We start from the raw sequence: 15466 nt of genomic DNA on the forward strand, positions 1-15466 counted from the left end.
CAGCCTGCCAACCTGGTGAAACCCTGTCTCTACTAAAAACACAAAAATTAGCCAGGTGGCTACTCAGGAGGCTGAAGCAAAAGAATCGTTTGAACCCGGGAGGTGGAGGCTACAGTGAGCTGAGATCCTGCCACTGCAATACAGCCTGGGTGACAGAGCGAGACTCTGTCTCAAAAAGAAAAAAATTAGCAGGGTAGTAGAAATATAATGCACACGAGAATGATAATCACGAAGACAATCTGTATTCCAGAATAGTAAGGGAACCTATTCCATTAGGGAGCCAACTGAAAATATAAAATCGCAGTTCACACCACAGGGTGTGGTGTCACATGCCTGTAGTCCCAGCTACTCGGGAGGATTGGTAAGGAAGTTTGCTTGAATTCATGAGGTCAAGGCAGAAGTAACCCTGATCATGCCACTGCACTCCAGCCTGGGGGACAGTGAGACCTTGTCTCAAAAACAAACTAAAAAACAAACAAAAACCCCCACAAAACCAGACAACAACAACAAATTGTCTCCTCACTCTGAACTGACAGCGGCAAACAACACTTTGCTATTGGAAAATTGAAAGAAAAACACTCCCTCTTGCTGTCAACCTGCCTTCTTGCTCTAACATTTCTGACCCATGGTTTAAAATGCCCAAAAGCTGATGTACTCAATTTCACTTACCTGTTCTGCACCAGCATTTATTTTTGTGTGGAGGAGATCACCATGCATGGTCCTATAAATGTCTAATGGCATGGAATGATGAAGGGCAGTGTCTTTAAGATATTTGGAGATATATATATATATATATATATATATATATATATATATATATACACACACATACACACATATATACACACATATATATAAATATATATATATACACACATATATCTGAAGAAACCCAACATTGGGTGAGTTCCCTCTAACTTTTCACTAGGCATGACCACTGCTCTATTTTAGATAGAGATTCAGTGCGGCAAAACCTGAGAATTATCTGCCCGGCTAGCAAGAAGATAGCTCCTTGCATTTTTGCGGGGAGAGCACTTTTGCTTCAAGGGAGTGTTTCTTCCCAGGATTATAAATCTTTCTGTAACCTCAGGAAACACTGCTGATGAAAACCAGGCATGGTGGCTCTGGCCTGTAATCCCAGTGACTCGGGGGCTGAGGCAGGAGGATCACTTAAGCCCAGGAGTTGGAGGCTGCAGTGAGCTATGATGGCACCACTGCACTCCAGCCTAGGCCACAGAGACAGATGCTGTCTCTGAAAGAAAAAGAAAAAAGAAAGAAAAACATTGCTGACGAAACTGCGGCCTCTTTTGCAGCTCAATAAAAAGCTATTTATTCACTGGCTAAGGTTGTACTAGGTAATCACATCACTTTAGATGATATATTTAGCTGAGCAGGGAGATGTATGTGTGGTGGCAAATACCTTTTGTTGCATATACATAAATGTTTCCCATGCAGTAGAACCTTCTCTAGAAAAAAAAATTAGAAAAGAAGCCACTTGGCTACAAGAAATCACTAAAGAAGAAATGGTATTTGATGTTTTCCCTGATGTTTTCAGTTGGCTGCCTAATGGAATAGGTTCCCTTACTGTTTCGGGATATAGATTCTCTTTGTGATTATCATTCTTGTGTGCATTATATCTCCACTAGTCAAATTATTAATGTTATGTATTTCTCATTGTTTTACTTCTTTTGAGAAACGAAATTCATGGTACTCTGAAGACTAGAGATGATTCAACAAGTGACAGCAACTATAGAATTGGCCGAGATCTCTCTGTCTCCCCCCCCCCCCCGCCCCCAATTCTGTGATGCCAATTCAGCTTCTGGGCACTGTTAAAAATTCCTTAGTGAGAGGGCTCCTTTCCTCCCCTGCCCCCAGTGTGGGACAGGACTATCTGGGAATGAGCCTTTCTGGCAAGGAGAGATACAGCTTTTGATCGACAATGCTTTCAAGAAAGACTTTTTATCTGGCCGGGCGCGGTGGCTCACGCCTGTAATCCCAGCACTTTGGGAGGCAGAGGCGGGCGGATCATGAGGTCAGGAGATCGAGACCATCCTGGCTAACACAGTGAAACCCCGCCTCTACTAAAAATACAAAAAATTAGCCGGGCGTGGTGGCGGGCGCCTGTAGTCCCAGCTACTCGGGAGGCTGAGGCAGGAGAATGGCGTGAACCCGGGAGGCGGAGCTTGCAGTGAGCCGAGATCCCGCCGACAGAGCGAGACTCCGTCTCAAAAAAAAAAAAAAAAAAAGACTTTTTATCTAAAGGGAGAATGAGGAAAGAAGAGAACTTTTATGAGGAGTGTGAGCCTTTCCAAATTCTCAGGCCCAGAGAGGCATTACATTGTGACAGCAACCACATTCTGCTTCCTTTTTGTACAATACTGTATTTGAAAAACAAAAAAAAAAACCTACGAGACTCATGAAATTGGACAACATTCTTTATAACACTACTACTGGTAAAACCAGCAAGGATGGCTGGTTTGCAGTCATCTGAGCAGCCTCTCTAGTTTCATAGATGTGATTTCTCTCTGATAGTCAAAGGCTTCCAATTTTAAGCAAAATGCTACTTCACAAAGATAAACAGCTTTGAAAGGAAACGGTTTTCTTTGTAATCCTAAACGTTCTAGTCTGCGAATTAAAAGCCACTATTTGAAGACCGGCGCACAGCTTCCAGCTGGCCGCCAGAAGGGTCCTCCGCAGGACACAGGTTAAGTAGTCGCTTCTTTGGGGGATACTAGATGCGGGGTCTGGGCGCACCTCCGGAAAGGACAAGGGCGGGAGGGAGAGGTGGGACAGCAGACGTCACTTCCTCCGTCGGCTCCCCCAGCGGGTTGGTAGGCTGAGTGGCGGAGGGTGGGGCGGAAGAGCAGAAGGAGACTGGGAAAGGCACTGTCGGTGACATCACCGATAGGGCGTTTCTATGTAGATGAGGCAGCGCAGGGGCTGCTGCTTCGCCACGAAGGATTTCCCGTGCCGTGGGAGCGGGTTCAGGACCGCTGGTCGGACCTGAGAGTCCCAGCTGTGTGTGAGGGCTAGGAGGGCTGGGGGTGGTTGGGGATTGGCTGGAGTGGTGCTGGGGCAAGTGACTGTGCGTTTAAAGGGTGAGGCGTATGGAGCTGTGGCGGGGCGGAGATAGGTGCAATCTTATTTATGTGGCAGGGCAGATATTATGGTTACTGAAATGCCTTTTAAACCCGACTCAACTATTTCATTTCAAGTGTGCTGTTCTGTCATTTTCTCCAAGGTGGGAAGCTCAGCTGTGTAATTTGTAGTAACGAAGCAGAAGTTACAACGAAAAGACAAGTTTTCCTGTGCTTGGCAGGGCCCCCCTCCCCCCCACCAAGGCCTGCAGTGGATAGAGCCTAGCAGATCCTGGACAATACTATCCTAAAAGCTACATCTCTGACAGTGATTTCCAGCGACTTTGTCAACACGGTCCGCCCCCAGCAAGTATAAGAGGAAAAACAACAAATGTCTTTACTGCCTTGTCTTTCCCCCTTGCCACTTGTCATTATTCAAGTTTTGTAAGTTCCTGATTTCCATTCAGTGCAGCTGCAAGGTTACCAGCTGTGCTTGCGTTGCAAGACCTGTCACAGTTTGATTAACTGCCTTCTTTCTGCTTCTGTAAGCCCTCTTGCCTGCCCCGCGAGTTTCACACCATCAAATTCCTGCTGCACCATTCAAACTAGCCAACCCCCTTTCAGAAGTGTGTATAAAAGTCAAGCCCCCTGTCTTTCTTCGGGGCTCATGCTAGGCCCGAGTGCATTCAATAAAATCCTTCTGTTCCACCCGTTGGTCTCTTTGTTCTCCTGATTCCCGCAACAGTAGTAGGGGACTGCGTTCGTGCTTTCCCCTGGTCTTTCATGGTATGAATAATAGACAGCATTTGTTTTTTTCATCTATAGTCGCAGGCCCAGTCTCAGTGATTGTATGGTGTGGTCAGCTGTTTTTGTTTTTGTGAGACCTTATTTTCTTGTTTACTGTCCTGGGACAGATGTCTGTAGTCACTTGTTTCCTCAGGAGGCAAATTTCAGTCTCTGTGGGGGAGGTCTCTCATGTTAGCTGTGGTGGTACTTGGTGGGCAGAGCTCAGGGATCTAGGCTTCCCTGCTTTGTAGATTGCTCAGTGGTCCCCAAGGCCTACTGGCTTTTAACACCACTTGAAAACCTTAGTGTTTTTCCATTGTCCCCGGAGTCACCTCTTACAGAGCCTCTTTTTTTTGTTTGTATTTTTCCCTGAGACAGAGTCTCACTGTATCTGGTGGGATCTTGGTTCAAGCGATCCTCCCACCTCAGCCTCTGGAGTAGCACAGGCACGAGCCATCGCAGCCGGCTAATTTCTGTTCTTGTTTTGTTGTTGTTGTTGTTGTTGTTTTGTTTTTTTAAGAGTTGAAGTTTCGCCATGTTGCCCAGGTTGGTCTCCAATTCCTGGACTCAAGTGATCCGCCCTGCCTTGGCCTTCTAAACTGCTGGGATTACACGTATGATCCATCACACCTGGCTAGCCCCTGCTTTTCCCTATAGCATTCATGGGAGTTTGTAGGATTTCTGTGCTGGGGGGAACGTGTACTCAGCTCATAGAACCAAGTAGAAATTGTACTTGGAACTGGTGCCATTGGGTTGTAGACATAACACGCTTGCTCTTTGTATGGAAAGGGCTTTGCCAGTGCCCTGGTGCCCCTGCACAGGGCATCGAGGCCTGCAGGTCAGAATGGCAGTCTCACCTATGTGTTCGTGTAATACGCAGCAATTCTCCCTGGAATATAAGATGGGAGGTCTTGTGAGGTTCCTACAAGTAAGAAGACACATTTCCCTGAAGTTTGTATTGACGAATTTAAAAACTAATAATAACAGCCCAACCTCCTGGATGGCAAATGTCCTTTACATTGACAGACCGCAACTGCCCTACTTGCCTCAGCTCCTCCGTGCAGATGCAGCCCCTGATTCCCTCCACACAGGTCATTTCCTCTCTGCTTTATCCAAAAGAGGGAGACAGCGGTTCTGCAGGAACCGCTAGGCCTTCAGGCCTTTGCTAGGAGCAAAGTAGGGGGAAATGGTCGCTGGGGCTGGGACCTGGGCACTGGGCCAGGTTGCCCTGCAGGAGGGGAAGTACTCAGGGCTAGAGGGGGCCAAGCACCAAGACCTCAGCATCCTCAACCTCCAAAAGGACTCAGAGAGAGGCAGAAACCGAGACAGGGTTCTTCTTTCAAGGAAGACCCCAGGGCTCTGAACCAAAATCCAGATTTTTCCCCATCTGCAGCTTAATTCCACCTTAGTTGGTGCAACTTCATCCTTCCCCTATGCTCAGGACAAAAAACGGTTCTTCTATAGCCTGGTCATTCTCTGATCCCATACATCCTATTGGTCAGAAAATTATGTTTTTTCTTTGGTTAACTGCAGACTTTGGTCTGCACAATCTTTTTCTTTCTTGGTCTGAAAACCACCCCACAGTCCCATATGTAGCTTTTTTGGATAAACCTAGAAATGGACCCTTCTGGTCTTACAGCTTGAAACTTAATATTTGTTGGCCGGGTGCGGTGGCTCACGCCTGTAATCCCAGCACTTTGGGAGGCCGAGGCGGGTGGATCACGAGGTCAGGAGATCGAGACCATCCTGGCTAACACGGTGAAACCCCGTCTCTACTAAAAATACAAAAAAGTAGCTGGGTGTGGTGGTGGGTGCCTGTAGTCCCAGCTGCTCGGGAGGCTGAGGCAGGAGAATGGCATGAACCTGGGAGGCGGAGGTTGCAGTGAGCTGAGATCGCGCCACTCTGCACTCCAGCCTGGGCGACAGAGCAAGACTCCGTCTCAAAAAAAAAAAAAAAAAAAGAAAGAAACTTAGTATTTGTTTTATCTGAGTTCCTTCCTCAGGAAATGACCTTCAGGCCTGTCAAAAAAGCTATCAAAGTACTGAAATTCATCCAGAAAATGAGATGCTGGGACCCCTCATTCATCATGATTGCTTCCTTGCTCCTCCCTATTTCCTGTTTTCTTACTCATTGTTAACATTTCTTCCCTGCCATCTAAACCTCTGGTTTTGGTTGGTCAGGGAGATGGATTTGAGACTGAGTTCTCATCTCCCCCACTGCAGCACCCTATTAAAGTGCCTTCCTTGGCGATAAGCGTCTCGGTGATTGGCTTTCTGTGCGGCAACCAGCAGGAATCCCAGATCTCTGAATTTTGGCAAAGGAGTCTCGTGATAAAGGTGGGATGGATTCTACTGACCAACATCAAAACGTTCAGACATTTGAAAGCCTTAATCTCAGGGTCGGGGTTTGGGCCGCCCTTGAGCCTTTTCCTTGGGCCTATCCATTAAAATCAGCCTGGCCAGGCCTGTCTTCAAGGTCCAGGGGTAGGGTCAGGTCCTCCCGACGCTTCTTGACGCTTCTCCCGCCGGGTCGGCAGCCACCCTCCCCTTCCCTGTGACCTGCAGAGAAGCTTCAGGGGGCGTTTATTCAATCTGCGAGGAGCCCACGAGGCACAGGCACACGGTGACTCTGGTTCCCACTGCACCCACCGCCCTCCTTGGTCCTCTCGCTCTCTCTGGCAGGCAGTAACGTTCTGGGTGAGCATGGGTGCTGAAGACACCCAGGCAGGGAGGGTAGGGAAGGGCACCAGCCCCTTAGGTCCTGCGCAGTAGGGATCCAAAAAAGGTCTTGAAGAAACAGAAAGGGAGCGTTGGGAGTAGATCAAAGGGAAAGAAAGGAATCCTAGGAGATTTCCTGTCTGAAGGCACCATGAAGAGAAAGTCCGCCTCCTCTGGGCCGGGTCCTCCCGTCGCAGGTGAACCAAGTGCCGGTCTCCATTGGAGACCAAAGCAGATAACTTTGCCCTGACTCCTAGTTAGGAAGCCATGCTTTGTCCTCCCCTGTTTAGCGCTTGATCCTGTAGCACTTGATTGTCTCTCCCGGGCTTTCTATGGATTCCAGGGATGCAACTGAGAAGTTAGTTTTTAATGCACTTTTGCTTGAAGTAAGAGTATTTTAGGCTGGGCAAGGTGGCTCACGCCTGTAATCCCAACACTTTGGGAGGCCAAGGTGGGCAGATTACTTGAGGTCAGGAATTTGAGACCAGCCTGGCCAACATGGTGAAACTCCGTCTCTACTAAAAATACAAAAATTAGCCGCCTGTGTTGGCTCAGGCCTGTAGTCCCAGCTACTCACGAGGCTGAGGCAGGAGAATCCTGTGAACTTGGGAAGTGGAAGTTGCAGTGCGCTGATCTCAAAAAAAAAAAAAGAAAGTATTTTAGAATCTTTCGGCAAAGGAAATGAATTCTGACAGGTTTTGCACTGAAGACATTCAGATGTGAGGAAAACACGAAAACCACTATGCTAGGGGAAAGCAAATGCTGTTGAGAATGTCTCACAAACACAAATTACACGTCAGCAGGTAGGTTTGACCCTCAGGTTCGGCACATTTTACTTTAAGTGTACTGTTGGTGGAACTTAGGATGAATCTAGGACATTCACGATGTATGTATGTATGTGTGTATATGTATATATATATACACACACATATATACATATATATGAACATATATATACACACATATATACATACACATGAGCGCGTATATATATATGTGTATATATATGTGTGTGTATATATATATGTGTGTGTGTATATATATATGTATATATACATATATATATATATATGTGTATGTATATATATGAGAGACAGAGAGACAGGGTCTTGCTGCCTTGCCCACACTGGTCTCCAACTCTGGGCCTCAAGCGATCCTCCTGTCTCGCCTTCCCAAAGTGCTGGGACTACAGGCGTGCACCACCTTGTCCAGCCCATTTTAATGTTTTTAATTTAAATACACATTCCAAAAATTATATAACAAGTACAAGAAGCCCGCTTTATGCCAGTTTTACAAAAACAAAGTGGCAACATCCTAAAGTACTGAAAGAAATAAAGTTTTCCTAGAATTCTATGCCAAAATGAAAAATCTTTCAAGAATGTGATTGAAATAAGGACATTTAAAGACATACAAAAAAAAAAAAAGAAAGAAAGAATTCAGCAACCCACACGACAAGAAATGCAAAGGGAGTCCTCCAGGCCTAAGGATAAGGATACCAGACAGAAAACTGGATCTACACAAAGAAATGGAGACTACTGGAAATCGGTATGTACACAGTTAAATATATATGTTCTTCTTATTTAAATCTTTTAAAATAATTTGACCGATTAAACAAAAGCAATAATAATGGATTGTGGGGTTTATAACATGTCTAAAACCAAATTACATGACAACACCAGCATAATGGCCAGAAGGGGAGGTAGAATGTCACTAGATGGCACTGATAAAGATGTATTCTGGAAACCCTAAAGCCATCACTGAAAAAGCAAAAGCAGGGAAAGAAGTCGGGGATGAGGTGGACAAGAAGAAAGAAAGAGTTATAGCTAATAAGCCAACAAAGGGAAGAAGAACATGGAATGATATAAAAACCATGTAATCACTGTGCTGGAGCAACTGCTCTCCAGGCCTCTACCCTATAGAAATACACTAGTGGCCAATGAGAAGTGTACAAGAATGATGACTGCAGCATTGTTTGTAATCATAAAATAATAGAGCCAATGTACTTTCAAAGATATATGAAAAGGGTTTTATTTATTTAACAAACACAAACAATTGTACAAACAAGGGAAGCAAGTCCTTTCGCCAAAAGGAACACAGAGGGTCATGATGATGCTACTCCTCCAGGGATTTCAGGGTTCCCAGACACCCAGTTTTCTGTCTAGTTCTTCTGGAAGATGTTATTCTTGGGGAGTTATAGGTCCTCGCGTTTGGAGCTCTTTCATGTTCTCTCTGAATTTTCCCCTCAGTTCCTCCCCATTCTGCTTCAACAACAACAACAACAAAAAACAATTCTCACCTCCAGAAGATCCAGCCTGTGCCTCTGCACGAGCCTTTCAGGAGGTCTGGATGTGTGTTCCACCGCTCCCCGGCTTCTTTCCCCGCTTTTGCTTTTCCCTTCCCTCCTGCCCTCCCGCCCCAGGACCCTACCACTGCGCAGCTGAGCCCCCGCGGCTCCACCGCGCAGAAGGTGCACTGGAGGCCCTGCCCGTTGCCCTCCCCGGGGGATGCCTAGAAATCAACGTGAATAAACGCTTTGAAAAAAGAACTTCCCCATGGAAAAATCTCATGATTTCTATTCTTGGGGTTCTTCAAGGGACTAAAAGCTAAAGGCGACGATGGCCCCGGGAGGTCGAGGCTGCAGTGAGCCGTGTTTGCACCACTGCACTCCAGCCTGGGCGACCTAGCGAGACCCTGTCTCAAAAACAAATCAAAACTTCCCCATGGTAAAATATTTCATGATTTCCATTTTCGGGGCTCTTCAAAGGACTAAAAGCTGAAGGTGACGATGGATTAATTCAACAAGTCCTAGTCGTCGTGCGCGCTGGTGAGTGCCAGACCCTGCTCTCCGCGAGGGGACCCACGAGCCACCCTCACCACCATCCCTGCCCTGGTGGAGCCCCCGTGCGGGACACAGGATCCGAAGATGGCAGCGGAAGTTCCGCAGCGGCCTCAAAAGTGACTGGGCAGGGTGGGCACAGGCTGCCTCACTGGGTCAAGGCGGCACAAAGAACCATCGCGGGAGCCCACCGGGCGTTCAGCTTCCCTTGGGCCCCCAGGCGGCTCAGGTCCGGGTCGGGGCCGGGCGTTTCCGGGGGCTTCTGCTGCAGGTGAGGGGCAAGGTCGTCCTGGTTCCAGAATCTCCCAATCTGCGGGTCTCCAATGAGACCAACACGATTCACCGCTCTCATCGCTCCAGTTTTCCAAGGCCTTTCACAGTTGTACTGCCGGGTGGGCTCTGAGGATGGGAGGGTTGGGGAGTGTTTGGTGAGTGCACCCTTCCTACAGCGCCCAGAAGAAGGTACACTACGTGTCTCTGTGGCACAATCGGTTAGCGCGTTTGGCTGTTAATCTAAAGTTTGGTGGTTAGAGCCCACTGAGGGACGCCTGCTCCAGGTGTTTTGTTTTGTTTTGTTTTGTTTTGTTTTTCTTCTTCCCTGAGACACAGTCTTGCTCTTTCGCCAGGCTGGAGTGCAGTGGAGCGATCTTGGCTCACTGCAACCTCGGCCTCCCGGGTTCAAGCGATTCCCCTGCCTCAGCCTCTGGAGTAGCTGGGAATACAGGCGCGCGCCACCCCGCCCAGCTAATGTTTTGTGTTTTAGTAGAAACAGAGGTTTCGCCTTGTTGGCCAGGAAGGTCTGGATCAGCTGACCTCGTGGTCCCTCCGACTCGGCCTCCCGAAGTGCTGGGATTACAGGTGTGAGCCACCGCGCCCGGCCGCCTATTCCAGCTTTTAAAGCGTTCATGCATTATCGATCACTAGATAAACGGGGGAGATTATATCTTCCCAGAGTCCTAAGCCACTCGGGTTGTGTCTCTGTGGCACAATTAGTTGTCGCATCCGAAAGGCCTAGCTAACTTTTGTATTTTTTGTAGAGAAAGGGTTTCATTATGTTGCCCATGGTGGTCCCCAAACTCCTGGGCTCGGGCACCTCCGAGGTCTCCCAAAGTGCTAGGATTACAGGCATGAGCCACTGCACAGGGCCTTATACAATGCTTCTAATTTCAGCACATTTAGCAAACTTATCTTCTGCGGGAGAGGTACCAAATCACATTCCAGTTTATTTCTCAACTCTAATAATGTCCCTTTCTTCATTTACTTGCTGACACAACAAATTTTCTCCCCTCCCCTACTTTTTGTTTTGAGACTAGGTGTCACTCTGTCACCCAAGATGGAGTGCAGTGGCGTGATCTCAGCTCACTGCAAACTCACCGCCCCTGCCACCCTGGCACTAGTGATCCTCCGGAAGAGCTGGAACCACAGGTGTGCACCATCAAATCCAACTTTTTTTTTTTTTTTTAGAGATAGGGTCTTGCTATGTTGCCCAGGTTGCCCCCAGGAGCTCCAACTTCTGGGCTCAAGAGATTTGCCTGCCTTGGCCTCCCAAAGTGCTGGGATTTCAGGTGTGAACCACTGCACCTGGCCTAACAAACTTTCTATACATGTGCCCATGATATTCTTTTCTTTCCTTTTTTTTTTTTTTTGAGACACAATCTTGCTCTGTTGCCCAGGCTGGAGTGCAGTGGAGTGATCTCAGCTTACAAGCCTGCACCACCACGCCCGGCTAATTTTTGTATTTTTAGTAGAGACAAGGTTTCATCTTGTTGGCCAGGCTGGTCTCAAACTCCTGAACAGCCTCCCAACGTGCTGGTATTACAGTCATGAGCCACCATGCCCGGCCATGTGCCAATGATATTCTAATATGGGGACAAGTGCCTTTCCGGTTTAAGTAAGGGGGAGGTAAAACAGAAGGACATGGTGGACATTACACACGGATATTCAGTTGCATAGGATGGACAGCTAAACTTCTAAGACATGTTATTTTATTTTTTGAGATAGAGTCTTACTCTGTTACCCAGGTTGCAGTGCAGTGGCATGATCATAGTTCACTGTAAGCCTCAGCCTCCTGGGCTCAAGTGATCCTCCTGCCTCAGTCTCCCAAAGTGCCGGGATTACCAGCCTGAACCACTGCACCTGGCTGAGATATTTTAAAGTCCTCCAACATCTGTAATTGTTTCTTTTTATTTTATTATACATAATAAAATATATACATATTTTATTAAAATTATATGATAATAAATATATACAATTATATATTATGTATAATAAAATATAGTATATATTTTATTATATATGTTTATTTTAAAATATATATGTATTCTTTAGAGATGAGGTCTCACTATGTTGCCCAGGCTGGTCTCGAACTCCTGAGCTCAAGTGATACTCCCATCTTGGCCTCCCAGAGTGCTGGGATTATATGTGTGAGCCACCGTGCCTGGCCCTGTTTCTTTTTCAAACTTAATTTATTTTAGAGACATGGTCTTACTCTGTCATCCAGGCTGGAGTGCAGTGGTGTAATCATGGTTCACTGAAGCCTGAACCTTCCCAGGCTCAGGTGATCCTCCCACCTCAGCCTCCTGAGTAGCTGGGACTACTAGCATACACCACCATGCCTGGCTAAATTTTGTATTTTTTGTACAGACAGAGTTACATCATGTTGCCCAGGCTACTCTCCAACTTGCGAGCTCAAGTGATCCGCCCACGCCGCCTCCCAAAGTGTCGATATTACAGGCATGAGCCACTGTGCCCAGCCTGTAATTGTTTGCTGTGGTGACCAAGTCACACTGGTCCGGAGAAGACAGGTCATAGTGACCTCTTTGATAGCTTTCTGCCAAGTTGCTTATCCAAAGGGAGCAAAATCACAATGGTCCCAGTCATTTTTTTCTCCTCCCCTTTCCTCTTTTCTTTATAAATGTTGATTTTACTTTTATTTGATGAACACAATCTAATGCCAGTTCCTCTTCTATATTGATGGAGAATGAGCATGCAGACAAGTGTCTCTGTATTATTCCTCGACTGATTTCTTTCAGAGGCTATGTCCATAAAAATTAATCCATCTGACACCCATCATTGGAGCCAACAGAATCCTGCACCTAACAGGCCCCTGGTGCAGACCTGGATCCTTAGAGCCACTGGTTCTTGTTCCCTCAGTTCTTGTTCTCATGAGCAGAAATTGAGCTGTTTTGCTTTTATATACTAAGTATGGTCATTGGGCAAGTCCTTCCTTTCTCTATCTCCCTCTCTCTCTTTCTTGCATCATTGTTTTCTGCCATCAGTGGCATCAGTGTGGGTTTCTGGTTTTGATGTTATGAAATGAATTTCTGGGGACAATCTCTGTTGGGTGGTGTTTGACAAGGTGTTTGGTGATACATGACAGCTAATCTAGTCTGTGAGTCTTTTTTGATTGTCTATTCATTGTCCTGAGGATAATGGTATTTCTTGATATTTGAGACTGCAGCAATCAGAATTTGCTCATATCTTGTCTTTCCAATGTTTGGTAACAATTTTTTGGGCCCGATAGCTGTCAATATCTGCAAGAGCGGCATCTCTATTATAAGGACGATCTTACTACTCAATGCCCCACCCACTCCCGCCACCTAACTTCATTCCATAGGAGCTCTTGGCTTTAACAAATTACTATACCTGAAAGAAATCTTAGTACAGAAAGAAAACTAAGTCTGTGGCAGGTAAGGAGCAGTTTTCTTTGATTCGTATACTCAGGTTTCTAGTAGCTAAAAACCTCTAACCAGCTGAAACACATGTCCTTTAAGGATTAAGTTTAAATCACACTACAGAAAGGGGAAAAGAGATTTATATGATCACAAATAAGCAATGGAGTCAGCAACATAAGCACTTCTCACAACTATACAAATCAAAAATTTTTTTTGCTTAAGACAGAGTCGCGCTCTGTCACCAAGGCTGGAATGCAGTGGCACAATCTTGGCTCACTGCAGCCTTGGCCTCCCGGGTTCAAGTGATTCTTGTGCGTCAGCCTCCTGAGTAGCTGGGATTACAGGCGTGTGACACCATGCCTGGCTAATTTTTGTATTTTTAGTAGAGATGGCGTTTGGCCATGTTGGCCAGGCTGGCCTCGAACTCCTGAACTCAAGTGATCTGCCCACCTTGGCCTCCCAAAGTGCTAGGATTACAGGCGTAAGCCACTGCGCCTGGCCACAAATCAAATTTAATAATCTCCAGAACATCAAGGAAGTTCAGCTCTTAATGAAAATGGATGAAAAGAAATGATTTACTCACTTTTATATGCTGGGGAAAGAGAATGCCCTGCCAGACTCAAAAGGGTATCACAGAATCACTCAGATTTTCAGCACTGAGGGTTTTCCAAGGATCTAATGATGTTCCTTTTTTCAGTTTGTTTCGCTCACTGATAAGCCTTGTTAATAAATACCATTGCATCTGTTTTCACTTTAAACGATGTTACTTAACACAATTATTTGCTTTCGAATGCCCCCTAGATTGGTGGAAAGAAATTTTCTGATTTATAAATATATTTTCTTATGAAACCAATTGGCATACTCTTCCAGTGGAGTGAATAGATAAATTAAGTCTCTAAAACTTTAAAGAGATTACTGCCCCAATTATCTTAAGGACAGTAATAATTACGTATATAAAATTAAAATATGGAAATTAAGCAGGGTGTGGTGGCTCACACCTGTAATCTTAGCATTTTAGGCAGCTGAGGAGAGAAGAAGGATTGAAGTCAGGAGTTTGATACCAGCCTGGGAAATATGGTGAGACCCCTGTCTCTACAAATTTAAAAATGAGCTGATTTTAAAAAACTAGCCAGCACAGTGGCTCACATTGGTAGTCCCAGCTGCTTGGGAGGCTGAGGCAGGAGGATCGCTTGAGCCCAGGAGATCCAGGCTGCAGTGAACTATAATTGTACCACTGCACTCCAGCCTGGGTGACAGAGTAAGACCTCAACTCAAAATAAAAGAAAATGAAGAATAATTTCTTGACTTTTTTTTTTTCCTGCAATGCCAGGCTGGTTGACTCACACCTGTAATCCCAGAAAATCAGGAGGCTGATGTGGGAGGATTGCTTTAGGCAAGGAGTTGGAGACCAGCCTGGGCAACAGGGCAAGATGCCATCTCTAAGAAGTTAAAAGGCGGGCTGAGCTGGGAGGACTGCCTGAGCCCAGAGTTCCAGGTTGGTCAGCTGTGGTTGCACCAGTGCACTCTCACCTGGATGACACAGCAAGACACTGTCTATTACATTTTTTAATTCTACTTATGCTTTAAATGTGATGTTTCATTAGGGAAAAATTTTCTTGTTGAATTTGTAACATGAAAAAATAATAGATTTAGCTGTAGATTAAATTAATGGTATTGGCTGGGCATGGTGGCTCACGCCTGTAATCGTAGCACTTTGGGAGGCCGAGGCAGGTGGATCATCTGAGGTCAGGAGTTCGAGACCAGCCTGGCCAACATGGTGAAACCCCATCTCTACTAAAATACAAAAATAAGCCAGGCATGGTGGCTGGCACCTGTAATCCCAGCTACTTGGGAGGCTGAGGCTTGAGAATCGCTTGATCCCTGGAGGTGGAGGTTGCAGTGAGCAGAGATGATGCCACTTCACTTTATGGGTGGCACAGTAAGTGAGAGTGTGTCTCTAAAAAAAAAAAGAAAAGAAAAGAACTTTTTCATGTGAAGAAAATGAGTGCTTTCAACTTAGCATGCCCAGAGCTAGGCATTAAAATGAGACAGCAACCACATCCTACTTCCTGCTTTCTAAAATCTTTTAAGTTAAAAAAATTTTTTTTATTGTATTGAAATGGAGTCTCACTCTGTTGCCCAGGCTGGAGTGCAGTGGCAGGATCTTGGCCCACTGCAACCTCCTCCAGTCAGGTTCAAGCAATTCTCCTGCCATAGCCTCCCGAGTTGCTGGGACTGAAGTCGCGAACCACGATGCTCCCCTATTTTTTTTTTTTTTTTTTTGTATTTTTAGTAGATACAGGGTTTCGTCATGTTGGCCAGGCTGGTCTCAAACTCCTAACCTAAGGTGATCTGCCCAACTTGGCCCACCAAAA

General features: G+C 46.0%; 2 long non-coding RNA genes across 5 annotated transcripts in view; one reads left to right on the forward strand and one right to left on the reverse strand.

The window, feature by feature from the left end:
- The window catches only part of LOC112268274 (uncharacterized), a 43044-nt gene that overhangs the window by 7492 nt on the left and 20086 nt on the right, over positions 1-15466 (reverse strand). The window lies entirely within an intron of this gene.
- On the forward strand, positions 2243-3785 carry LOC100996756 (uncharacterized). The gene is made up of 2 exons (XR_159169.5): positions 2243-3018; positions 3242-3785. It is a non-coding gene; the product is annotated as an uncharacterized LOC100996756 (long non-coding RNA).

Source organism: Homo sapiens, chromosome 1, assembly GCF_000001405.40.
Source record: "Homo sapiens chromosome 1, GRCh38.p14 Primary Assembly".
In the NCBI taxonomy this organism is placed as follows: Eukaryota; Metazoa; Chordata; class Mammalia; order Primates; family Hominidae; genus Homo; species Homo sapiens.